This window comes from Homo sapiens, chromosome 17, assembly GCF_000001405.40.
Source record: "Homo sapiens chromosome 17, GRCh38.p14 Primary Assembly".
NCBI classification, from domain to species: domain Eukaryota; kingdom Metazoa; phylum Chordata; class Mammalia; order Primates; family Hominidae; genus Homo; species Homo sapiens.
Genome location: NC_000017.11, coordinates 41,556,349 through 41,581,391, shown reverse-complemented (window position 1 = coordinate 41,581,391; position 25,043 = coordinate 41,556,349). Strand labels below are relative to the sequence as shown.

Below are 25,043 nucleotides of genomic sequence, written 5' to 3'. Positions count from 1 at the left end.
TTGTATAGTAAGGATGCTGAGCCCTGCCTCTTGAGGTTGATACAAGAATCCAATGAGTGACTATACCTTAAGAGCCAGGACTGTAGGAGACTCCCCTGGGTGGGGAATGCCTTTCCTTCTCTTTGGGGGGCTAGAAAAGGAGTGGGAAGGCAAGGAGCCTCACCCTAGTAAGTGGTGAAGATTCCAGAGGTGGGTGGGGCTCATTGCCCCAAGCTAGGAAAGAGTTGACTAGTCCTGTGTCAGTTTCAACAGCTCATTCATTTGGCTGCCTGAAGAAAACTTGTAGGGGGAGTCAAGGGTAGGGGAGAGACTGAAAAACGACTAAATTTGGGCAAGGGATCTGAAAGCCTGAGCTTTTGAATCAGACTACTTGGGTTGGAGTCCTGGCTCCTATGCTGAATAGCCTTGAAGAGTTTGGGCAAGGTACTGAACCCCACATTCCTCTTTCACAAGGTAGGGAATAAATATCTTTACTGCATAAGGGCTGATACAGGAGTGAATGACCTCATGCAGGCAATGAATTTGGCATTGTGTTTGGCACATAGTCAGCACCCTATAAATGGTAATGGGGTGAGTTATTAGGAAAAGGAATGAAGAGATGTTGGTTTCTCTTGTTCCTACCTCCACCCCAGGAGAAAGAGGACTGCTTTGTACTTCTGAAACTCTGGGATATCTTTTAACCTAAGTTTTGTCATCAAAAAGGGTTGACCTTAGGTGATCCCTGGGTGAGGATGGGCCATCCTGGAGGTGAAGTACTAGAGTTTCAGGGGTACAGGGGACAACTCAGGAAAGAGGAAGGTTTGAGGGTGCTTCCTCAGAGAATGAGAAGAGGTGGGTTTGAGGGCCCTAGGGGGTACAGGACCCTAGTGTGGGGAGGGGCTTTGTGATACTCCCAGGGGTGTTGGACTCTGGTTCCTAAGGTTCCTAGTTGGGCAATGAACCTCCTGCCCAAGTGTGGCAAAGAATCTCGGGAATGGCCCACATTTGAGAGGTCACATGGGCCTGGACAAAGAGCAAAATATGGCAAGAGTCACCAGTGGGGACTGAAGCCCAGAACGCCCTCAACTTCCTAAGAATCCCCAGACATCTCTCTACCTTGGAGGTGGAACCAGATTAAAGTCTGTGCCCAAAGGAGATTTGCTTTAGAGGAATATAGAAACGTGAGGTCTCTTAGACTGGGGTGAGGTGGGGCGAGCCTCCTCTCTGAGTGGTTGCCGTTACTGTTTGAAGGGAATACACAGGAGACCTGGGCTTGCTTGCGGGTAAGAATGGCGGCTGGCACCACCTGGCTGAAAGCAGGCTCAGAACCAGGAGAGGAGGAAGTCAAGCAGGGAGGCTGGGAGGTAGTCCCACCCTGTGCTGTCAGGCTCCAGAGGAAGAGGGCAGCAGGGCAGTGGCCACCGGGGTCTCACATGGACTCCCCTCCTCCCGGGATTTCCCCACAATACCTCACTGGGGAGGGTAGGGCCAGTGTTTGGATCCTGCTGATGAACAGGGCTCTTGTTCACAGAGCCTGGCAGCCACAAGCATCCAACTCAAAATATGAGTGAGCCCAGCAGCTTCGACAATGGTGACCGCCTTCCCTTGGCCTCCGCTCAGCTAAACAATAGACGAGCAAAGTGACTCGATAGCACAGTCTAGTGGAGGCAGCTGGGATTGCATCTCTGAGTCCTGGGGCTGATCAGGTGCCCTCTCTGGCTCCGCCTCCCTCTAAACCCTCTCTCCACCCTCCCAGCACTCAGAACCCGGCAGTCCTAGGTGAGCCACCGGGAAGACTCCTCCAACCTCACCGTAGGGAGACTGGCTTGCTCCAGGTCCTAAGGCTGAAAGTGGCAAAGTCCTGTCCATGCTCAGGCTTTGCCACGTCCTGGGTGGCTTCATTCCTGTTCCGTTCTTTCTCAGGGATGAGATAAAACTGAGAGACTTATGGGATCAGTGTGCATTTTTCGTAGCTTACTCCATGGTTTTTGTTTTATGGGGTGGAACCGACCTTGAAATTCTCAATCCCCTTTATTTTTGGGAGCTTTTTTTTTTTTTTTTTTTTAATGGTGAAAAGATCTCTAATGTGTCCAGGGAACTCTATAGGCAGCAACTGGCATATGTACCTTCCTAATCAGGCAAATGGCACTTCCCCAAAGCCACAGACAACCTGGCTTGGGTAATGTAGGCGACTATTCCTACAGGAAGATGTCAGAGGAGGCAGCCCCAAGGAGGCCTGATCCCCAGGGGCTGGGGGGTCCCGATGTCCTTGTGGGACCCCAGGAATTTCCCTGGCCCACCTCACTGAGCTTGGAGGCTGCCACAAAGGGGACCAGGGGATGCCAGGGACTTCCAGGGCGATGGACCGGCCTCAGGCAAGTGCAGGGCAGTCACCAGCTCCTCCTCCATTGCCGTTTGCTGAGCACAGGCTTTCCTGACAGGGCTTCCCTCTGTGCCACTGTAAGGCCAGGCTTGGGAAAGGAAGTCTTTTTCCTTTAAGGTGCTCTGATGAACTTTAGGGGTGACTTGGCTTGAGAGAGAGGGCAAAAATAGACACACAGAAATAGAGAGAAACAAATGGATATAGAGTTGAGAGAGAGAGAGAAAGGGAGAGGGAGAGAGTCAGAGAGACAGAGTCAGGGATAGAGAGGATAGTGAGGGCCCTGGGCCAGTACTAGGCAGGGAGGGGCATTCATTCATTCATTCATTCATTCATTCACACATACTTATCGAAACTTAACTGTTGTAGGTGTAGGGGAGATGGGGTGAATTGAGACAGACTGAATAAGAAAAGAGACAACATGAGGAAGAAGGTAGAGAGGGACCCAGTGCATGTGTGGGGTTTGGGACAGAGAGCAGGAGCTCTGAGCCTGTGTCCACTGTAGCTCCTGATCACTGGAGGGCAAGCCCTGGCTCCATTCTGCCTTGTTTAGCTCTGTGACTGTGGCCAAGATACCCTCTCTGAGCCTCAATTTCCTTACCTGTAAAATGATTTAAAAATTAATGCATACCTCCTAAAACAGTTGGTGAAGATTAAATTCGACAGTGCAGGCAAAGCAACGAGGGTCTTGCCTGCAACACTGGAGGTTCCTTGACGGAAGGAACTATGATCCTCCAAACATTCAATGTCCTCCCCAGGCCCCACAGGCACAGGTCTTTGATCCTAATGGGGGCTCAATAGGCCAGAAGGATGGGCTAATAATAAGCAAGGGAGCTGAGAACCCAAGTTGCCCAGATGGTCCATGGGGAAGTTGGGAGCAGGCACAGTGCCACCGACAGTCAGGATGATGTCCCACCATGTACCAGACCCACACCAGCAGTTTTACAATATGAGTTCTTTTAAGCCTCACAACAACTTCATGAGGCCAGAACTTTTTTTTTTTGTTTGTTTCTTTGAGACCAAGTCTCACTCTGTCACCCAGGCTGGAGTGCAGTGGTGTGATCTGGGCTCACTACAACCTCAACCTCCCAGGTTCCAGCGATTCTCCTGCCTCAGCCTCCCAAGTAGCTGGGATTACAGGTGCCCGCCACCACGCCCAGCTGATTTTTGTATTTTTAGTAGAGACAGGGTTTCACCATGTTGGCCAGGCTAGTCTTGAACTCCTGACCTCAGGTGATCCGACCGCCTTGGCTTTCCAAAGTGCTGGGATTACAGGTGTGAGCCACTGTGGCTGGCCAAGCTCAGAACTATTTTTTTTTCCCCACTGAAATCTTTTGCTTGACTTAACCCACTGCCCTTTAGCCACACAGGACTCCTGCCCTGGCAGTCACTTTGCTTGTTCCCACCTCAGGACATTTGCACATGCTGTATGCCCCTCCCCTTTGTCCTTCTCCTGGCTCACTTCTCCTCCCCCTTCACTCAAGTGTCTCTTTCTCAGGGAGAAGGTCACTGGTACCCCAGACCATGCCACACCTTTATTATGTGCTCTCCATTCCCCACCAACCGTGCTCACCTCAGTTGTGAATTACATGTTCATTTCTGCAGGTCTATTTTATCCCATAACTGTCCATCAAGATAAGGGCTTGCTCATTACTTTACCCCCAGCACTCAGCCCAATGCCTGGCACATAGTAGGTGCTCAATAAAGGATGAATCCGAATTTGGAATGAGGAAACAGGTTCACAGAGGGGAAGCAACTTTCCCCAAATAAGTGGAAGAATCTGGCTTTACACCATGACCTGCCTGGCTTCGAAGCCGGTGCTCTCATCCTCACTGCTAGGTGTGTCCCAGCAGACACAAGCCTGGGGTGCCTAGACTCAGGTGGAGGCACGTATGTGGGCCCACTCCATCCCCTCACTGTGGTCTGATAGGGTCTGAATTGGGAAGGGTGATGGCAAGTGCCTGTTGTATGAGAAAGAATCAGTGTTGACAGACAGGTGCAGGTACCCACAGCCCTGCGCCAGTGGGCAGTGCACACCTGCCTAGATGGCTCATGGAGGCTCCAGGGGAGGAGCCGTGACTCAGCGGGTGCTCCCTCTCCCAGCAGCCAGCTACATGCTGACTCAGGTCCCTCCCTGGCCCCACCTGGGGATCAATGACAGACAGCAATGGGTAGTAAGTTGGGGGTGTGGGAGGCTGCTTGCAGGCAAGCAAGAGGGCTCCCACAACCAGAGCAAAGCTGTCCTTGAGCTGTCTCCAGGTCCCTATGTCCCCAGTGGACGATACCTTTGCCTCTGGGGACACCTTGCAAGTGGGATCTTTGGTTCTCTCTCTGTCCCTCTGTCTGCCTCTCTGGGTCCTTGCAGCCCCTTCTCTCCTACTCCATCCACTCCCCAAGGGGAGGGCCTGCATTTGGGTTGCTGGCACTGGGTCTAGCTTGCAGCCTTGCAGCCTTGCACACTGGCTGTAGAGAGGCAGTGTTGATTCTCGCTGGGTCTCAGGTGCCGGGGTGCCATGGGCTCCATGGTTTCCATTCCTGGTTCATTCTTTGGAGGATTCCCATGGGAGGTGTTGAAGGTGGGGCTCAGAGGGCAGACCCTGAGCCCTGAGAGGCTGGAAGAGTGAGCCATGCCACATGACCTAGAAGAAATCACTCACTCAGGCCATGGCTGTTGGCCTTCCTCATCCCTGGCCCCATCTTGCCCAGTCTGGTTCCCATGCCAGGCAGAGAGCTTGGGAGAAGGGAAGAGATGCTGCCCTGCTGCAGCTGGAACAAGACCTCCTATCTGGACCGCAGGAGCTGCAAGCACAGCAAGATCCTCTTTGTATTGGAACAAGGCCAGATGTAGGGGGAGGAGGGCCAATGTGGCAGGGGCTACATGTGGGCAGCAGTTGGGCATTCATCTAGGGAGCCCTCTTTCTTTTTTTTTTGAGACAGAGTCTCGCTCTGTCACCCTGGAGTGCAGTGGCTGGAGTGCAGTGGCGTGATCTCTGCTCATTGCAACCTCTGCCTCCCGGGTTCACGCCATTCTCCTGCCTCAGCTTCCCAAGTAGCTGGGACTACAGGCGCCTGCCACCACACCCAGCTAATTTTTTGTATTTTTAGTAGAGACAGGGTTTCACCGTGTTAGCCAGGATGGTCTTGATCTCCTGACCTCGTGATCTGCCCACCTCAGCCTCCCAAAGTGCTGGGATTACAGGTGGAAGCCCTCTGTCTTTATGGCCCTTGGCAACAGTGCATGAAGGGGCTTCTCATGAGGAAACTGAGGCCAACTTTGAGGACCACAGGGAAAGGGAGGGTGAAACTGGCACGTGGCCCAGCCTTGCCTGGCTGGGGAGCTACTGTGCTGTCCACCCCACAGTGGTCCTCATGCACAGCTTTCTTTCCCTGGCAGCTGGGAGGAGTTCTGAGGGACGAAGCCTGCTGCTTCGGGCTGAGTGAGGCTTAAGACAGGGCTGGAGGGTGGGAAGTGGAGAAGGTGGGTGAGGACAGGGGTTGGGGTTTGGCACCAGGGCTGGAAACCAGGGCCATCTGTCAAGAGGCTTAGCTGGCCAGGGGAGCCCCAGCTGGGAGCTTCTGCTCAGTCAGGTGGGTCTCAGCTGTTCTTAGGATCCCCCAAACAGATACATTTGCAGATGACAGAGCAGGGTTCTGAAAGTGCCACTCTGCTGGCTCTCTCCAGGGTGGCCCATCCACAGCACCACTGACTTCCCTACCCAGCTCAGGGACCCAGGACCTGGGGCTTACATCCCAACCAGAGTGGCGGCATCAGCATGGGCATGGGGAAGAGGGTAACTTTCCAGGCCTTGGAACACATTGCGGCAGATTCTGGGCTTCCCAGCAGAGCTTGGCAAAAACCTTGAATGGTTTAAAACCATTTGAGAAAGTAGAAAGGGAATCAATTATACCCACTAGCCTTGATCTAAGAGTCTTCCATGTATTAACTATCATAAAATGCCTTCAGTATTCTCTGAATATTGAATAAAAGAGAATTATATTCTCTTTTAATTTTCAAAACTTAAACTACCTGTTTAATTTTTAATGTAACATATTCTGTAACACCCATTTAAATATTTATTTAACACATTTTGGTAAATTAACTCACCTTTCATTTCAATAAATATATTTATAAAGGAAATCTTACATTACTACAAAAAAGGAAAATCATAATCACTTGCCAGAAGCAGAAGGAAATGACATACAGAAATACTTAACTTCTAACTAGATGCTGTTACTTTCTAAAGGTTCTGAGCCCAAAGTTGGCTCTCTTTTTTTGAACAGGGTGATTGACAAGTGTGTGGGTCGTTAGAGAAGCCATAGTGTCCAAATGAGATTTCATCCTTGACTAATCAGAAGATTGAAAAATAGAAAAAGAGGCCAGGTGCAGTGGCTCATGCCTGTAATCCCAGCACTTTGGAGGCTGAGATAGGAGGATCATTTGAGCCCAGGAGTTCAAGATCAGCCTGGGCAACATAGCGAAATCTCATGTTTATGAAAAAAAAAATTAGCTGAGCATGGTGGTGTGTGCCTGTAGTCCCACCTACTTGGGAGGCTGAGGCTGGAGGATGGCTTGAGCCCAGGAGGTCAAGGCTGCAGTGAGCTGTGATCATGCCACTGCATTCCAGCTTGGATGACAGAGTGAGACTCTGTCTCAAAACAAACAAACAAACAAACATGGAAAAAGGAAATCTTCCTCCAAGTGCTTCAGTATTATTATGTTTAGGATGATTATTATTATTTGAGACGGAGTCTTGCTCTGTCGCCCAGGCTGGAGCACAGTGGCGCAGATCTCACCTCACTGCAACTTGTGCCTCCTGGGCTCAAGTTGTTCTCATGCCTCAACCTCCTGAGTAGCTGGGATTACAGGTGTGTGCCACCACGCCTGGCTAATTTTTTGTATTTTTAGTAGAGACGGGGCTTTGCCATGTTGCCCAGCCTGATCTCAAACTCCTGAGCTCAGGCAATCTGCCCACCTCGGCTTCCCAAAGTGCTGGGATTACGGGCATGGGTCACCGTGTCCGGCCACTTCAGTATTATTTAACAGTCGTTGAGCATCACTTAAAAGCCCCTCAAGAAATACCAGTCATCTATGCCGCCTACACATGCAGGCATTGCCTCTTTCAGGCCCTTGCTGACCATCCTGGCAAAGAGATTTCCTTACCTTTAGCTCCTTTTCAGCAATGAGCATCTTTCTGGAATGACTGGTATCTTTCCTCCATCTCATATGTGTTGGGATCCTACTTGGATCAGACGTGGCGCTGGGCACTGGGGCAAGTACGAGATGAGCAGGGGCAGGCTTAGAGGAGCTCTGGCTGCCCGCAGAGAGAGGTTTCTTCTATTTTTTCAGTACATGAACTTTTATTCTTCATCAAGTGCTTCATAGAGCCATGGAGATAAGTGTGAGACACTATAACAGAGCACAGTACAAACCCAGGGGGCGAGAGTACAGGAAGACAGAGGAGGAGGCAGTCAGAGGGATCACTGAAGATGGGTAGTTTTCTGTGTAGAAAAGATGGAGTGGGACATTTCAATCAGAGGTCACTGCAAGTGCCGAGTATTCTTAGAGGGAAGAAGGGCATTTGGGAAGCATTGTATGATTTTCTAGGGGGCCTGGGGGATGGTGGGAGATGGGGCAGGAATGGAAAGATGGGGATGGGCCTAAGTGCCAGGAATGTGGACCTTATCTTGAGGGTGGAGGGAAACTGGTGAAGTGATGTTGTCAGACATGGATTAGAAAGGTCATTCTGGCTGCTGTGCAGGAAGAGTCAGAGGGAATGGGAGAGGCAGGGAGGGCAGTTAGAAGCTCATGGCTAAGGTCTGGGTGAGGGCAGAGTTGACGGGGAGTTAGGGGGCTGAATGATCAGAGGCAGCCGAACATTTTTTGAGCACTTCTCACAAGTCTCTTACTAGGAGATGGACAAACTACTCATATCAACCTTTTTCAAAGGAGGAAACTGAGGCACAGAGTATTTAAGTAACTTATCAAAGTCACACAGCTCATGAGCATGGAGCTGGATGGAGCTCAGGTAGGCACACCGGAGACCAGCGTGTTCTTTACCATTCTCTTCTGGCCTTGGTGACCAGAATATACATCCAAGTTTCTGCCAGGAGCAGGGATAAGTCACACATCTCTGTATCCCCTCCAGAGTTCTGTATGGGGTAGGCACTCAACCAAGGTCAATTCCACACTCCCTGCTGGGCCCTGCAAAAGGACCAGGACAGTCGAGCCACTTGCATTCCTGCTCAGAGGTCAGCTAGTGTCAGCACCACCTTGTTTATTTGGTCCACTTTCTTCTTCCAGCCCTTTGTGTGAACTCTGCACGCTGTCCTTTAGTGCTGGCGGGCATGGTCTCGGTGCCCGTCTCCATCTTTTGGCCATGCCAGTTGCCTCCTCATCAAACTGGAGTCTCCCAAGGGCAGAGCCTCAGACTCTGCAGAAAGCCTCGAGGATCCTGAGAGCAAGGATTGGTTTTCATCCATTTGGGGCTCCACAAGGGCAGGGGCTGTGCCTCCCCCTCCTCTATGATAACTCCTTAGTACCCTAGTTCCAGCTCAGCTCACAGTGGGCACAAGGTGGGAGCAAGGAGGCATGAGGGATGCAGACAGTAATGACCATCAATAGAGGAGGTGACTCTGCTCTTGGGAGTTTCTATCCCGAAGGGGCTAAGTCTCAGACCTGCTGTTGGGGCCAGCCAGAGACCAGACTCCAGGATCTAGGTCACCCCTGTGGCAGTACAGCTGATTTATGGTGGCCCTGACAGCCTAATGTCATCAAATTATCCCACACAATGGAGAGAGGCTGGGCCGCCCCCAGGCAGTCACCAAAGGACGCTGAGCCTGGGGCAGCCCGGCTGCCTCCGTATCCCAGACCTCCCTCGGGTCTGTGGGGGGAGGCTGGCACAGAACAAGGGCACACCCAGGCGTGCCACCTTCAGCTGGGGGTATAAGTAGGCAGCCCCAGGGACAGCTCTGTACCCTGCACTTGGGAGCCGGTAGCACTCCTATCACTGCTTCTCAACCCGTGAGCTACCAGCTGTGTCATGAGCTGCAGACAGTTCTCCTCGTCCTACTTGAGCCGCAGCGGCGGGGGTGGCGGGGGCGGCCTGGGCAGCGGGGGCAGCATAAGGTCTTCCTACAGCCGCTTCAGCTCCTCAGGGGGCGGTGGAGGAGGGGGCCGATTCAGCTCTTCTAGTGGCTATGGTGGGGGAAGCTCTCGTGTCTGTGGGAGGGGAGGCGGTGGCAGTTTTGGCTACAGCTACGGCGGAGGATCTGGGGGTGGTTTTAGTGCCAGTAGTTTAGGCGGTGGCTTTGGGGGTGGTTCCAGAGGTTTTGGTGGTGCTTCTGGAGGAGGCTATAGTAGTTCTGGGGGTTTTGGAGGTGGCTTTGGTGGTGGTTCTGGAGGTGGCTTTGGTGGTGGCTATGGGAGTGGGTTTGGGGGGTTTGGGGGCTTTGGAGGTGGTGCTGGAGGAGGTGATGGTGGTATTCTGACTGCTAATGAGAAGAGCACCATGCAGGAACTCAATTCTCGGCTGGCCTCTTACTTGGATAAGGTGCAGGCTCTAGAGGAGGCCAACAACGACCTGGAGAATAAGATCCAGGATTGGTACGACAAGAAGGGACCTGCTGCTATCCAGAAGAACTACTCCCCTTATTATAACACTATTGATGATCTCAAGGACCAGGTAGGTGCAGGAAACTGTCTCTGTCTTGGTCTCTTTCTCTTTCATTCTTTATCTTCCAAAAAAGTTAAAATGCTAAACTCTAAGCTCAGATAATAGCCAGGGAATCCACCTTTTGGAAATGTACGCTTTCATCAGAAACAAACTTGTGTTTGGTTTCTGGGGATCCCAGGATAGGACTTTGGCCTGTGCTCTGAGTGTTCACTTCCATTTCCTCAACTTTCAGAGTTTGGGCAGAGCAGAGAGGAGACCTGGGTTAACGTGAGCTGAGCTGGGACTGGATGTGGAACCTCCTTTAGGTTTGGTCTAAGTCAATACTTTCTCTTCCTTTGTACTTCTCCTGGGCTTCTTTAGGAGTGTATCTTGATCTTTTAAGGTATTTTGGACCTGACTGTACATGTTGGTTATTCAAGTGTTGGAGAGGATCCAGAAATCTGGGAATGGAAGCTATCTATCCATCCATCCTTCCATCTATCCCTTCCTCCCTCCACCCACATGTCTATCTATCTATCCATTTATTCAGCCACTCAGTTCAGTGAGTGCCTACCCTCAGGGTTGCTCTGGGTAGACATAGTGATGTGCTAGACCTAGTTCTGGTGGAGCTCACGGTCTGGCTCTTCAGTATTCTCAGTGATTCCTCTTGTTTTAACTCCTGCATGTCTCTGAATGTGCTGTTTCTTCTACTCTAAACCTCTTCCATTTATTTATTAATGTTACATCTTAGCCATCCTTCAGGGCCCAATTCAATTGCCAGCCACCTCCTTCCTGAAGTCTTTCTTGATCTCCCATTGCCATAAGCCACCTCTCCTTTCCTTGAACTCTTTTAGGACACTTTTGACTTTGTAGTCAATGGTGGGCTCCCTGAGGAACAGGATGTCAGTAATCTCTAAATCCTACAATGCCCTTTGCAGTAGATCTTCAAATATTTGTTGAATGAATGAATGAAGGCCACACCAAACATCTTCGCTGAAGGCTGGAAGGGGTCTGTGCCATGTCCCAGCTGTTGGAAGTTCCTCATTCCTCTTGAGAATCTTCCTGGATGGAATCCTCACCTCCTGTGGCTTTGCCTGGCCTCTTGCCCTCTCAGCAGTGGTCCACAGCATGATATCATGGCTGTGTCCTTTTTTTTTCAGATTGTGGACCTGACAGTGGGCAACAACAAAACTCTCCTGGACATTGACAACACTCGCATGACACTGGATGACTTCAGGATAAAGTGAGTCCTGCTCCTCTTCTCCTCTCCTGTCATCAGCCCTTACCCCTGAACCTCAGTGCTCTGGAGGTCCTGGTAGGGCCTGGTTCCCTCTTGATTGTTTTCTAACCCTGGCTGGTCTGCAGGTTTGAGATGGAGCAAAACCTGCGGCAAGGAGTGGATGCTGACATCAATGGCCTGCGGCAGGTGCTGGACAATCTGACCATGGAGAAGTCTGACCTGGAGATGCAGTATGAGACTCTGCAGGAGGAGCTGATGGCCCTCAAGAAGAATCATAAGGAGGTAGGTTGCTGGGGCTTATGGCTTACCGGGAAGAGGGAGGAGCAGAAATGCAGAGACAGCAGGGGAGCTTTGGAACATTACCTGGGAGACACCCTCTCCTTTGCTCTTGAGGACACTTTCAACTTCTCCTTGGCATCACCTATGGTAGTGGTTGGGCTTTGGCTTCACAACTGTGTCCCCTTTTTGTACCCTGGGGGGACCAGAGGGAGAATTCTGAAAGGTGGTGCAGAGGACTTTATCCGTGACCTCATCTCCCCTTCTTCCCTGGCAGGAGATGAGTCAGCTGACTGGGCAGAACAGTGGAGATGTCAATGTGGAGATAAACGTTGCTCCTGGCAAAGATCTCACCAAGACCCTCAATGACATGCGTCAGGAGTATGAGCAGCTCATTGCTAAGAACAGAAAGGACATCGAGAATCAATATGAGACTCAGGTGAGCAGAGTGGGCTGCCCATTCATCCTCCTCCCCTCCATCTATTCCTATCTCCATCCCTCCCACCTCCCATTCCTTCATCCTCCTATCTCTGCATCTCTCAGTGCAGCTGTCATTTATCCATCTTCCAATGGAAGTCATTCATCCATCTTCATTCACTGCATACAAACATCATTACAAAGTAGCTTCTCAGTGCCATGTTATATGTAAAGTATTGATGTCTCAGAGGTATTGATGTCTGATATGAGCCAAACAAGACTGCTGCCCTTGAGAAGCTCACAGTTTATTAGATGTGTGTGAACAAAAGCAGAATGTGAACAATTTAATCTAATGCTATGTAATGTAAGACTATAGCAGAGGGATACAGTGTGTCTCCCATACTGTACTGAGCTCCTTGGTGGTTCCCTTCGTCCTTGAGTCTCCAGTGCCCAGCCAGAGTCTGGCACATACATGAAGGCATGGTCTGTGCTGTGTGTGTGTGTGTGTGTGTGTGTGTGTGTGTGTGTGTGTGTGTATGTTTGAAAGGTGGGGGAAGTTTGGAATAAGGTTAGATTAGAAAGATGGTTGTGAGACAAAGCGTGAAGGGTCTTGCAACTTTGTTGAGAGGGAATGTCATGTTGAGAGGACTGGACAACCCTCCATGGCTGGAGGGTACCCAGAACTCAGAATGACTTGTCATTGGCTTCAGATCAGCCTTGGCCCTGGAGGTGAAGATCCTGGTGAATGGGGCAGAATCTCACTCACTGAAGCTCCTGGCACAGCCTGATGCTTACTGAGCCTTTGGTTTTGCAGATAACCCAGATCGAGCATGAGGTATCCAGTAGTGGTCAGGAGGTGCAGTCCAGTGCCAAGGAGGTGACCCAGCTCCGGCACGGTGTCCAGGAGTTGGAGATTGAGCTGCAGTCTCAGCTCAGCAAGGTTGGTAGTTCTGCTATAGACCCTTTGCCAAGGTGGGGCACAGGAAGTCTTTGCAGCCCAGGAGTGGGAAGAAGAGGAGTTATGATGTAGCATCCCTCTTAAAGCCTTCTCCTAACCCTTAGAAAGCAGCTCTGGAGAAGAGCTTGGAAGACACGAAGAACCGCTACTGTGGCCAGCTGCAGATGATCCAGGAGCAGATCAGTAACTTGGAGGCCCAGATCACTGACGTCCGGCAAGAGATCGAGTGCCAGAATCAGGAATACAGCCTTCTGCTCAGCATTAAGATGCGGCTGGAGAAGGAAATCGAGACCTACCACAACCTCCTTGAGGGAGGCCAGGAAGACTTGTAGGTCCCCCAGGATTTGGTGGAACCCCTGGGGGTCCCTAGGCCTCTGATACTACTTCTGTCCCTCTGGATAGAGGCAGCTGGGGGAAGTTCTTATACACAGGGTCTTATGGGTTGAGGACTTCTTCATCCTGGGGGCCGGGGGGACCTCAGTGCATTTGGGCTTTGGGAAAGGAGGATGGTGACACTGAGAGAACGGGCTGCCTCCCTGCTCCAGGGAGGGGAGGGCTCCACAGTCTCAGCTGGAGGCTCTCCTCTCCCAGCTGTGGTGCCCGCCCAGACTCTGTCCTCTGCCTCCCAGGAAGGAAAACAGAAAGATTCATGTTTGGGTCCTGACTCTGTCCAGGTCCATCCTCATATATGTGTATGGGGGCCGCTCATTTTAACTCTCTTGTTTTCTTTCTTTCTTAGTGAATCCTCCGGAGCTGGAAAAATTGGCCTTGGAGGTCGAGGAGGAAGTGGAGGCAGTTATGGAAGAGGATCCAGGGGAGGAAGTGGAGGCAGCTATGGTGGAGGAGGAAGTGGAGGTGGCTATGGTGGAGGAAGTGGGTCCAGGGGAGGAAGTGGAGGCAGCTACGGTGGAGGAAGTGGTTCTGGAGGAGGTAGTGGAGGTGGCTATGGTGGAGGAAGTGGAGGTGGCCATAGCGGAGGAAGTGGAGGTGGTCATAGTGGAGGAAGTGGGGGCAACTATGGAGGAGGAAGTGGCTCTGGAGGAGGAAGTGGGGGTGGCTATGGTGGAGGAAGTGGGTCCAGGGGAGGAAGTGGAGGCAGCCATGGTGGAGGAAGTGGTTTTGGAGGTGAAAGTGGAGGCAGCTACGGAGGCGGTGAAGAAGCGAGTGGAAGTGGTGGCGGCTACGGAGGAGGAAGCGGAAAATCATCCCATTCCTAGTCTTCTTCCTCAAAATCTGGTGACCAAGATGAGACAAAAGGTAAGGGACAATCCTAGGTTGTGGGGTGGAGAGTCAAGGTCTCACCTTTTTTTTTTTTTGAGTATTTTTGAATCTCTGGGGAACACAGATTCTGAATAGAGCTAGATGTTAGGGAAATCTCTAGTGAGGTGTCAGAGACCTACCCTTGGTTCTGAATTGATCATTATTTTTGACAGAGCCTAGGATGAGGCTAGGACCAAATCTACACATGGCTGAGTCTCAGTAGTGTAGGAGATGGGTTGAAAATTGTGCATTATCATGACACACGCTATGAGGTAGGTTTTATTATAATCCCCATTTTAAGGAAAATGAGGTTCAGAGAAAATAATTTGCTCAAAGTCATACAATCACAAATGAAGGGTTCAGCTCTGTGGGGCTTCACAGCCAGTACTTTCAACCTTCATGAGGATGGGGGACCTGGATCAGCAACAGTTCAGGTGGAAAAGAGACTCAGGGATTTTAGTCAGTGGTTGGCTTGCACAAGTATTACATGATGCAACTGCCAAAAGGATGAACATAATCTAAATGTAAGAAAGGCTCACACAGGTGAGTTGGTCTCTAGATCAGGGAACATTTTCCCATGTACACATTGAATTTTATAAAATAAAAATGTAATATGAAATTATAGGAAAAGCCTGGGTAATATAACTGGGAATGTTTAGCTCAGAGAAGACTTGAGGTGCTTGGGAGCTGCCCTGCAGGGTGTCTAATGTGGTTTTGTGAGTCCAGTGGCACTGCAGGTCCATGGATATACATCTAGGAGTGAGGCTGGGGCCATCTTTTGCCTCAATATACAAAAAATTGACTAACAAATCTGTTGAATGGAGGGGGCTGCCTCATAAGCCCCCCATCCTCAGACTTGGGGGTGCATCTGTCAGGTTTGCTGCAACAGAGATTCAGGAATTAGATGGGGACCAGTAGATTGGGAGACCCCAGGGTCCTTCTACCTCAGGATTGTCCAGCTCTTTGAGCTCTAGTGTCCTTGCTTCGAGTTTCCCCATCTTCCCCCAAGTCCCAACCTCTCTGCTCCTGCTTACAGTCCTCCCTTCTCCCCCTCATCTCCCTTCCATCTCTCCACAGGCTTCCTTTCGCGATACTAGAGCCTCTGTAAACTTCTCCTGCCCAGCCCCAGCTGAGCATCCCCAGATGGGCAGACTCCCGATGAAGCCTGCTTATTGGATCCTGACATCAGGAATAGCTGGCAACAAGCCCCTGTGCCCGTTTGGGACTGAACTGACTTGGCATATGTGCCTCTGGCTTTCCATTGGCTTCCAACCCTGCTTGGCTTTGATGCCTTCAGGGTTGGGGAGACAGACCTCTTTCCTCTCTCTGGCCTGGGGTGCTCTCACACCCTGCACGATCTTGACTATAATAAAGCTTCCCTACTGCAAATCAAACTCAGACTTTGACCCATTTGTTCTTTGGGATTAAGAAGGGATAGGGTGGGTGGGACACAGTAGCTCATGTTTGTAATCCTAGCACTTTGGGAGGCTGAGACAGGAGGATCACTTGAGGCCAGGAGTTCAAGACTAGCTTGAGCAACATAGTGAGACCTGTCTTTACAAAAAACTAAAAACAAAACAAAACAAAAATTAGACAGGCATGGTTGCAGGCACCTGTGGTCCCAGCTACTCAAGAGACTGAGGTGGGAGGATTGCTTGGGCCCAGGAGTTGGAGGCTTCAGTGAGCTATGATTGCATCATTGCATTCCATCCTTGGTGACAGAGTAAAGGGATAATCAATCTGTTATAAAGAGTGTGGGTTCACTTTTCTATTAGTTAACTTTTGCTTGTAACAAAGGAACCCACATTTAGTGGCTGAAAATAACAACCATTCATTTAGCTTAACAGTTTTGCAGTTTAGTCTGGGAAGCTCTGGTTCCCTTTATGCATCTATGGTTCGCTGCAAGTCAGCCAGGTGGCTCTTCCTCTGGTAGTTGGCTGGATGCTGGCTGGGGTGATGAGGATGAATGGGGTCTGTGACTCCCATCCTCCAGCCAACTAGCTTGTGCATGTGTTCCAAGGTCATGAGCAGAAACATGCAAGGCATCTTGAGGTTTAGGTTCAGAGAAGTCACTTTGGCTGTATTATATTGGCCAAGCAAGTCGCAACCTAGCCCAGATTCAAGAGCAGGGGAAATAGACTTCTCTTGAGGGGAGGAACTGCAAAGTCACATGGCAATGGGCATGGATATAGGGAGGGCAATAACTGAAGCAATTTTTTGCAAACAATCTACCATAGTCTATTGTCACGTTGTGTGTTAGCTATGGAGGAAAACAAGACAAAAATGATGTGGTCTTTGCTTGCAAGATTTCAAGTAAAAAATATAAAAAATATAAAGTCCTTCAAGGCAAAGTAAGGGACATTCCACAAGACATCAGCCAACAATATTCTCTAAAGATTCTGATAGTCAAAAATCCTTTTTATTACTAGGGACAAATAGCCCCCCTCAGCCTATGTACCAGACACTATAGCTGCTTATTAAGCTACCCCAAAGTATAGAGGCTTAAAATGACAAAATTCATTTTGCTCATGAATCTGCAATTTTGACAGGGCTTGGTGGGGACTGCTTGTCTCTGCTCCTCTTGGTTTCATTGCTGCTTACAGGCTGGGGGCTGGAGTCATTTGAAGTCTTAGTCACTTACATACCTGGGCTCGCTGGGGCTCCTTGGACATCTCTCTCTATCTCTATGGAGAGTCTCAATGTGATCCCTCCAGCACGGTAGCTTCAGGGTAGCCCGACTTCTTATATGCTGGCTCAGGGCTCCCAAGACACATGTCCCAAGTGAAAAACCGCCAGAAAGAGGCTGTTTGACTTTATCACCTGGAAGGGGAAGTCACACAGTGCCACTTCTTCTGTAGTCACAGGCCTGCCTAGATTCAAGGGAAAGGGAATAGACCTGTGGTAGGCAGAATTCTGAGATACTTTCCCAAGATTTCTGGCCCTGCTGTACACATATCTTCTTCCGGTTATTCAATCAAACACTAACCTAGGTGCTACTGTGAAGGGATTTTGGTAATTAAGTTCTGAAATGTGTTGACTTTAAGAGAGGGAGATTATCTGGCAGACCTGATTTCATCACATGAACCCTTTAAAATCCAAGAGTTTTGCCTGGCTGGTCACAGAAGTCAGAGATTTGAAGTCTGGGAAGATTTCAATGTGCCCTTGCTGGTTGAAGATGAAAGGGGGTCATGGAACAAGGAATGTGGATGGGCTCTAGGAGCTGAGAGCCAGCAAGAAAAAGGAGATTGCAGTCCTCCAGCTGCAAAGACCTGAAGTTTTCCAAGATCAAAGAAGAATTTGGAAGCAGATTACCCCCAGATGAGAATTCAGATGAGAGCTTAGCCTGGCTGACATCTTGATTTCACCCTTGTGATATCCTGCAGAGAGAATCCAATTACGCCTGTGGAACTGTCAGCTAATACATGGGTGCTATTTTAAGCTGCTGAGTTTGCAGTAATTTGTTAAGCAGAAATAGAAAGCAAATACAGACCCCGTCTCTAGATGGAGGTGTGTCCATGTCACGTTGAAGAACAGCATATGCAATGGGATATATTGATGTGGTCATTTTTGGAAAACACAAATTGCCACAGGCTGGCTCAAATCACTGGCAGAGGGGTTATGTAAGAGTACACTTAGGGAATGAAGTGACACAGAAACCCAGGGGGATTCAAGATCCTGGAATTTGTGGATATGGGAGCAGGCAGGTCATCAGTGTCTCTGGGTCAAAGGTGGCTCTAGCAAGACACCTGAGCAGTGAGAGTCTGTGATCTCTTTTCTAGCGCTCCGCTGTTAATATGCAACTGTTTACTCTTCTCTGGTTCTTTTTCTGCTACCTGCTGTCTTCCTCATCTACCATTTTACATATCTTTTTATTTATTTTATTTATTATTATTATTATTTTTTGAGACGGAGTCTCACTCTGTCGTCCAGGCTGAAATGCAGTGGCACGATCTCAGCTCAATCCAACCTCTACCTCCCGGGTTCAAGCGATTTTCTGCCTCAGTCTCCTGAGTAGCTGGAACTACAGGCACCTGCCACCACGCTGAGCTAATTTTTGTATTTTTAGTAAAGACGGGGGTTTCACCATGTTGGCCAGACTGGTCTTGAACTCTTGATCTCAGGTGATCCACTTGCCTCGGCCTCCCAAAGTGCTGGGATTACAGGTGTGAGCCACAAGGCCTGGCCCATTTTATGTATCTTTTCTCTACCTCAATTTGGGAAATTCTCCACCTTAAGTGTGAAGCTCCCCAAGGGAGAGGTCAGAAACTTGCTTTTCCGAGCTCACCTGCATCTAGGGCATGGGCCCCTGACAGCCCTGCCACTCAGGTGCGCCCGCACAAGACGTTTTTTTTTTTTTTTTAACCATGGCACCCCATTGGAGTGAAGGACTTTGATTTTGATTTAAAGGAGGTGCTGAGTGGAATTTTTTATGGCAGGAACAAGGTTGGGCAGAGATATGTGATTTTTTGAGGAAGCAATAGCAGCGGCTCTGGCAAAGACATGCAGTGCCCATCATCCATAGTTTGAGCTTCAATTTTGGTGGCCAGAAGTGACAGCAGTGGTGTGTTCCTAGAGCAATCCTTGAGTGTGATTTGGGGAATTTTTCTGTTTGCATACCCTCCAAGTTTGATTCTCTGCACATCCTGGAAAAGATGCCCAGTAGTTGCTCATTATTTCACAGGGAATACATTCAAAGATCCTGACTGGATGCCCAAAACTGTGGATAGCACCTAAATCTATCTACACTATGCTTTTTCCTACACATTCATACTTAAGATACAGTTTACTTTATAAATTAGGCAGACCAAGAGATTAACAACAATAACTAATAAAATAGAATCGTTATAACAATATACTGTAATAAAAATTATTTGAATGTGGTCTCTCTCTTTCAAAATATCTTATCATACTGTAGATCTTAGCAACCTCAGCGTATGGTTTTTTTCTTTCCGTAGTAAGTTTTGAACTGTCATCTTTTCTCTTAAAGAAAGCATTTTGCTGGCTGGGCGCGGTGGCTCATGCCTGTGATCCCAGCACTTTGGGAGGCCAAGGCTGGAGGATCACCTGAGGTCAGGAGTTTGAGACCAGCCTGACCAGTATGGAGAAACACTGTCTCTTCCAAAAATACAAAATTAGCCAGGCATGGTGGCGCATGCCTGTAATCTCAGGTACTTGGGAGGCTGAGGCAGGAGAATCGCTTGAACCCGGGAGGCAGAGGTTGAGGTAAACCGAGATCACGCCATTGTGCTCCAGCCTGGGAAACAAGAGCAAAACTCCTTTTAAGAAAAAAAAAAAAGCACTTTGTGGCTTCCCTTTGGCAAATCTGAATTATCAGCATCACTGCTCTTGCACTTTGGGGTCGTAATTAAGTAAAATAAGGGAACACAAGCACGGCAATACTGCAACAGTTGATCTGACAACTGAGACAGCTACTAAGCGACGACTAGTGGGTGGGTGGTGCATAGAGCATGGAGAGCTGGACAAAGGGATGATTCCTGTCCTGGGCTGGACAGAGTGGGGCAGTGTGAGATTTCATCATGCTCTTCAGGGCAGCACACTTCAAAACTGACAAATTGTTTATTTCTGGAATTTTCCATTTAATATTTTTGGATGACAGTTGACCACAGGTAACTGAAGCTGTGGAAAGCGAAACCATGGATAAGGGGAATGACCGTGTTGCTTTCTCTGCAGGTGAAAGCATATTTATTCTGGTACTCTTTGTTTATTGGGATAAAGAAAAAAGAATTTCCCACAGCAGGTGCCAGGGTCAATGGTGATCTGCTTTAGAAAAGGGACACAATCTGGATCAACGACTGCTGTTGGAACAACCATGTGATAAATTGTAAAATAATTCATGGCTATTCTCTAACATCTGTTCATGTTCTGCACAGAAAAACTAGGCAAGTTAACCCTAAATTTATCATTTTTTTTTTGAGACAGGGTCTCTCTCTGTTGCCCAGGCCGGTGGGCAGTGGTACAATCACAGTTCACTGAAGCCTTGACCTCCCAGGTTCAAGCAATCCTCCTACCTCAGGCTCCCAAGTAGCTGGGACTACAAGCGTGTGCCACCACGCCAGACTAATTTTTGAGGTTTTTTTTTTTTTTTTTTTTTTTTTTAAACTAGAGACAGGGATCTCACTCTATTGCCAGGGCTGATCTTACATTCCTGTGTTCTCTCCCCATCTTGCCCTTCCAAAGTGCAGGGATTACAGGCATGAGCCACCACTCCTGGCCCATCAAATCTTTCATGTGGCACTAATCTCTGTCATTCCCTTAGAGATGTAGTGTTGCTGGTCCTTTTTCTAAACCACGTAATCCTTACTGGTAAGGATCAGGATCCTTTTACTGACTATGTCTAGTCCACTCCAGACACTGGGAAATAACCACAGGATTGGTCTGGGATACCACTGGGCTCATGAGAAGCAAACTTGGGCTAAAACTCCATTTGTCATCTGATCTCTATATTGGTTAGATTCTCAATTGCAACTACCAGAAACTACTTTGCCTATTTTAACAAGTAAGGGATTTTCAAGAGCTCTAGATACCTTAGAGAATCATTAGGAGGGCTGGAGAAACAGAATCTAGGGTGATTTTTCCAGAACCCTCCAAATGACAAAGCAGAGTGGATCTGCCAAAGGAGTTGTTGCCTCTGCCAAGACCATGAAACCACCAAGTCAGATTGGAGCCTTCTGAGTCCATTCTGCACTAATTCTGGACTCAGCTGGAGTTGCAGAGCCACGCTGCTTCTGCTGTCCATACCAGTAAGCTGGATGTCCCAGGTGAACCTCATTTCCTCACCTACTTCCCTTCTAAACCAAGTCCACATGGGTGCGTCTGACTAGTAGAACCTAAATTGCTCAGCTCATCTTAGTGGCAAGGGAGGCTGGTAAATGTAGTTTTTAGATCTCCCTGGAAAAGAATAGTGACAAGATGACAGATACAACCTACACTCACATGAGCTTCCATTCTAACTGGGGAACCACAGTATTGCTCTGCATTTTCAGAGATTAGAATTGGTTTGGAGCCAGCGTCCAATCATCCCTAAAGGCCTGGGTATTTTCCTTCCCTCAGGAGTCAGCTATTCTTGTAAATACCCACAGATTCCTATGGGAAGGTCAGGGTGGCAACCCCTGCCTTCTGGACACCCAGGTTCTTGTCTGGTGTCCAGGAAGAATCAGGTCACATGAACTGTTTGAAAGGTGATGAATGCAGAAGATTTTATTGAGCATAGGGTGGCTCTCAGTGGACGTATAGTGCATGCTTGTGATGTTACTGCAGGGCCCTTCCTCAAAGCCTCCCCTTCATTCAGAGTTCTCTGGGTCTATGAGCCAATTCCGATTTTGGAATTGGAATCATGGGGCTCAAGACAGGTCTCTTACTGACCTAAAGTTTTCTTTTGTGGGGGCGGGGTAGTGAATGTGGCAGATATGGAAGACTGACTCACTCCTATCTGTTTCAACATCCTTCTGATGAGCTTTCCTATACTCAAGAGGCTGGTAATCTAAAATCTACCCTTTTCCAGATTCCCCTACAGCCATAGCTTAGGTTTTTCCAATCAGATGCACTCTGTGAGTCATGAGTTGAGTGGAGAGAGAAGTAGAGGGGGAAAAGTTAAATGCTTTTTCTTTGTGTAGGTCTGCCAGGTATACTGTATGGTCCTGGGGCCAACATGTCTGGTAGTGGCTTCCTGATTCCCAAGTTTTCTGATTGTGGCAGACCAAGAGTTCCCTTGGGGTCCACTTCTGTGGTGTTAATATGGAAGCCATGCCCAGAAGCCCAATATAGAGTCTGTTTCTTCAGCCTTCTAATGATTTTGCAAGCACCTAATGCCTTGTATTAAATTTATTTCTGTTAAGAAAGTGAGATTGGTTTCTGTTACTTAAAGCTGAACCCTAGCCGGGCACGGTGGCTCATGTCCATGATTCCCACACTTTAGGAGGCCAAGGCGGGCAGATTACCTGAGGTCAGGAGTTTGAGACCAGGCTGGTCAACATGGTGAAACCCCATCTCTACTAAAAATTCAAAAATTAGCTGGGCATGGTGGTGGGTGCCTGTAATCCCAGCTACTCGGGAGGCTGAGGCAGGAGAATCGCTTGAACCTGGGACGCGGAGGTTGCAGTGAGCTGAGATTGCACCCCTGCACTCCAGTCTGGGCGACAGAGTGAGACTCCATCTCAAAAAAAAAAACAAAAACAAAAAACCAAAAACCAAAAACCAAAAACCAAAAAACTGAACCCTGACTGGTGGTCTGCTCATGTATTTTTGTCCTAGAGACCCACCATCACAGACTCCTACAGATTTTATCCTAGTCCAGCTCTTCACCTTTGCCGTGTTGTACCTGAGATGTCATCTCCATTCAAATCAGGAGGCCTAATTCAACTGCAGCATATTTCATCCACATCCTCAGAGAACAACTGTTAACTGTGTTTTTCAAAGATGCTGTGTTCCCCCGATCCACGTATTTCTTAAAAGCCAGAGTCTGCACAGTGTCTTCTGGGCTCTCACAGTTGGTGAATGAGTGAATGGATTCCACGCAATAATTCTACCCCAACATTCCTGTCTCCCTAGGCAGTCAGATTCCTTTTTCTTTATTACAAAAAGGATTTTCTAGAAATAACTTTATTTCAAATAAGCCTTTATTGAGTTCAGTTTCTGTCATCCAACTGAGCAACCATTCTGATCCACTTCCAGATATTTAAGCTAGTAGCTGAACTTCCAGTCTCTGGTGAATGCTTGCACATTAACTGAGCTGGTTCAAAAATTCATTCCCAATCCCAGTCTTCACATTTCTGCTCATACAGGTTAGCAGCAGCTTGAAATTCTCCTGGTGTGTAAATCTTTTTCTCTAAGCTTTGTCTTTGTAATTGGCCTCTTCCCCCAGGTATGCTGGCATCTGGCTTATTTATAATTCTGAAAGCAATGAAGGGTGGTAGGGTAGAGTGTGAAGATAATTTGGAGTTTGGAGTCTATTAAATTCTCTAATACCTTCCTGTTCCAATTCTGTGGGTGTCCCTCTTTCCTGATCAGTGCTCTAACTTTTATATAAGAGACTTGGCAAGGTTGTGATTTCAACTTGGAGAAGTCAATTTTGAGTTTATTAACTACTTCAGCATTGTAGCTACAAGAAATGAGATATTTTTAAAGAATAATTGTGGACAGTCCCTGGTCCTCTGACTGTCTACAGAATCAGGAACTTAGAACTTCAAGTGTATTACTCCTTCTCTAAGCTCTTCAGTACAGTTAAAAGAAACAAGCCCACTCCAATTTAATTCACATGCTGTGGGCTTCTAGAAGCTCATTTTAATCATAGCCAGATTTTCACTGGCCCATCTAGGCCAGATAACCAAAGTGATTCTCATGTCATTCATTCAACAAACTTCACTGGATAAATATGTATCAAGCTCCTTTTATGCCAGGCACTGTCCTAGGTGCTTGGGATATATCAATGAACAAAAGAGACAAAGATTTCTGCCTCTATAGAGCTTGCATTATAGGTAAGGGTTGGGCAAGAGCAACAAATGTAATAAAGAAATAAATAATACTATACTTGAAGGTGGTAAGTGCGCAAAGAAGTAGGGAATATCAAGGGAGATTGGAGTGCTATGGCAGGGTGGGGAGGAGAGCAATGTTAAATAGGATGGCCAAGGTTGGGTTCACTGAGAAGGTAAAACATAAGCAATGACTTTGCGATGGAATAGTTGCCCTGACGCCCTTCATGGGCGGGAACTGGAGCACTTTGTTTTTTGTTTTTGTTTTGTTTTTTTTTGAGACTGAGTCTCGCCCTGTTGCCCAGGCTGGAGTGCAGTGGTGAGATTTCAGGTCACTGCAACCTCCGTCTCCCGGGTTCAAGTGATTCTCCTGCCTCAGCCTCCCGAGTCGCTGGGATTACAGGCACGGGCCACCAAGCCCGTCTAATTTTGTATTTTTAGTAGAGATGGGGTTTCTTATGTTGGGATTACAGGCACACACCATCACGCCCAGCTAAGGAGCACTTTGTTTCACTCAGCCTGTTGCTGGCCACTCCTTGTGGGAGTGAGTGTGTGAGCAAGTGTGGGAACCGGAGCAAATGAACGCTGGAACCAGCCGGTTGCTCCTCTCTGGCAGGAGCAGGCTCTGTTCGGGCCCTGCAGCAGCGTCCCTATTCTTTCAGCTGTGCTGTCAGGGGATGGCCAAATACCAACCAGTTCAATGGAGGTTCAGGGTGGCAGCCCCTGCCTTCTTGGCACCCAGGTTCTTGTCTGGCGTCCAGGAAGAAGAATCAGGTCACATAAACTGTTTGAAAGGTGACGAATGCAAAATACTTTACTGGGTGTTGGGTGGCTCTCAGTGGAAAGGGAGGATGGAAAGGTGATGGGATGGTGATCTTTCCCTGAAGCCCCACCGTCTCCGGCAGGGCCCCTCTCCAAAGCTGCACCATCTGAAGTTAGCCAGATCTATCCACAGTCTCCGATGCTCAGTTGCTTTTCTGCTCGCCGCTCAGCTGCTTATATCCTCAGTGCTCAGCCGCTTGTGTTGCTCTGCCAGCTGAAGTCTTTTATGGGCACAGCATGTGGGCAGGCAGGCCAAAAAGGTAACATTTTTGGGGAAAATGGGGTCCTTTAGGGCCGAGGTTCCAGGCTTAAGGGTAGGGTTTAGCCAGGAGCCCAGCCCTTCTGTATCAACTTGACGGAGTGAGGGAGGCAGTCAAGCGTGTGTGGGGACCACTCCAGGCACAGCAGCTAGTGCTGATGATCATCCTAACACACAGTGCCTTGAGCAGAGGAGTGACAGGCCACTTGATGAGAGGCTGCGAGGCTAGGAGCAGAAACAGAGAGCCCAGTGTGCAGGGAGGTGAAGAGCCCCTGGCACTCAGAGTGAAGACGGTCAGAGGTGGCTGGATTC

The 25,043-nt window shown here is 48.8% G+C and overlaps 1 protein-coding gene across 1 annotated transcript, besides 3 other annotated features; it reads left to right on the top strand.

Moving 5' to 3' along the window:
* Positions 815 to 1,801: an enhancer, noted in NCBI's record as "H3K27ac-H3K4me1 hESC enhancer chr17:39735843-39736829 (GRCh37/hg19 assembly coordinates)". NCBI's record gives its function as "activates a minimal SCP1, AML or CMV promoter by ChIP-STARR-seq in primed H9 embryonic stem cells {active_cell/tissue: H9 hESC(primed)}" and the evidence as "EXISTENCE:reporter gene assay evidence [ECO:0000049][PMID:30033119]".
* Positions 1,691 to 1,740: a silencer, noted in NCBI's record as "silent region_8495". NCBI's record gives its function as "represses an Ori minimal core promoter by ATAC-STARR-seq in GM12878 lymphoblastoid cells {active_cell/tissue: GM12878}" and the evidence as "EXISTENCE:reporter gene assay evidence [ECO:0000049][PMID:35858748]".
* Positions 5,432 to 5,931: an enhancer, noted in NCBI's record as "H3K4me1 hESC enhancer chr17:39731713-39732212 (GRCh37/hg19 assembly coordinates)". NCBI's record gives its function as "activates a minimal SCP1, AML or CMV promoter by ChIP-STARR-seq in naive H9 embryonic stem cells {active_cell/tissue: H9 hESC(naive)}" and the evidence as "EXISTENCE:reporter gene assay evidence [ECO:0000049][PMID:30033119]".
* KRT9 (keratin 9) lies at positions 9,333 to 15,556 on the top strand. Its single transcript, NM_000226.4, has 8 exons — positions 9,333 to 10,041; positions 11,172 to 11,254; positions 11,377 to 11,533; positions 11,805 to 11,966; positions 12,759 to 12,884; positions 13,007 to 13,230; positions 13,642 to 14,159; positions 15,240 to 15,556. Exons 1-7 carry the CDS (start codon positions 9,400 to 9,402, stop codon positions 14,117 to 14,119), a joined length of 1,872 nt encoding a protein of 623 aa, NP_000217.2. The 5' UTR covers positions 9,333 to 9,399; the 3' UTR covers positions 14,120 to 14,159; positions 15,240 to 15,556.

Coding starts and splice junctions, on each gene's coding strand:
- KRT9 (NM_000226.4), top strand. CDS start 9,400: ATGAGCTGCAGACAGTTCTCCTCGTCCTACTTGAGCCGCAGCGGCGGG. Junction 11,255..11,376: donor CTGGATGACTTCAGGATAAA/GTGAGTCCTGCT, acceptor GCTGGTCTGCAG/GTTTGAGATGGAGCAAAACC. Junction 12,885..13,006: donor TGCAGTCTCAGCTCAGCAAG/GTTGGTAGTTCT, acceptor CCTAACCCTTAG/AAAGCAGCTCTGGAGAAGAG.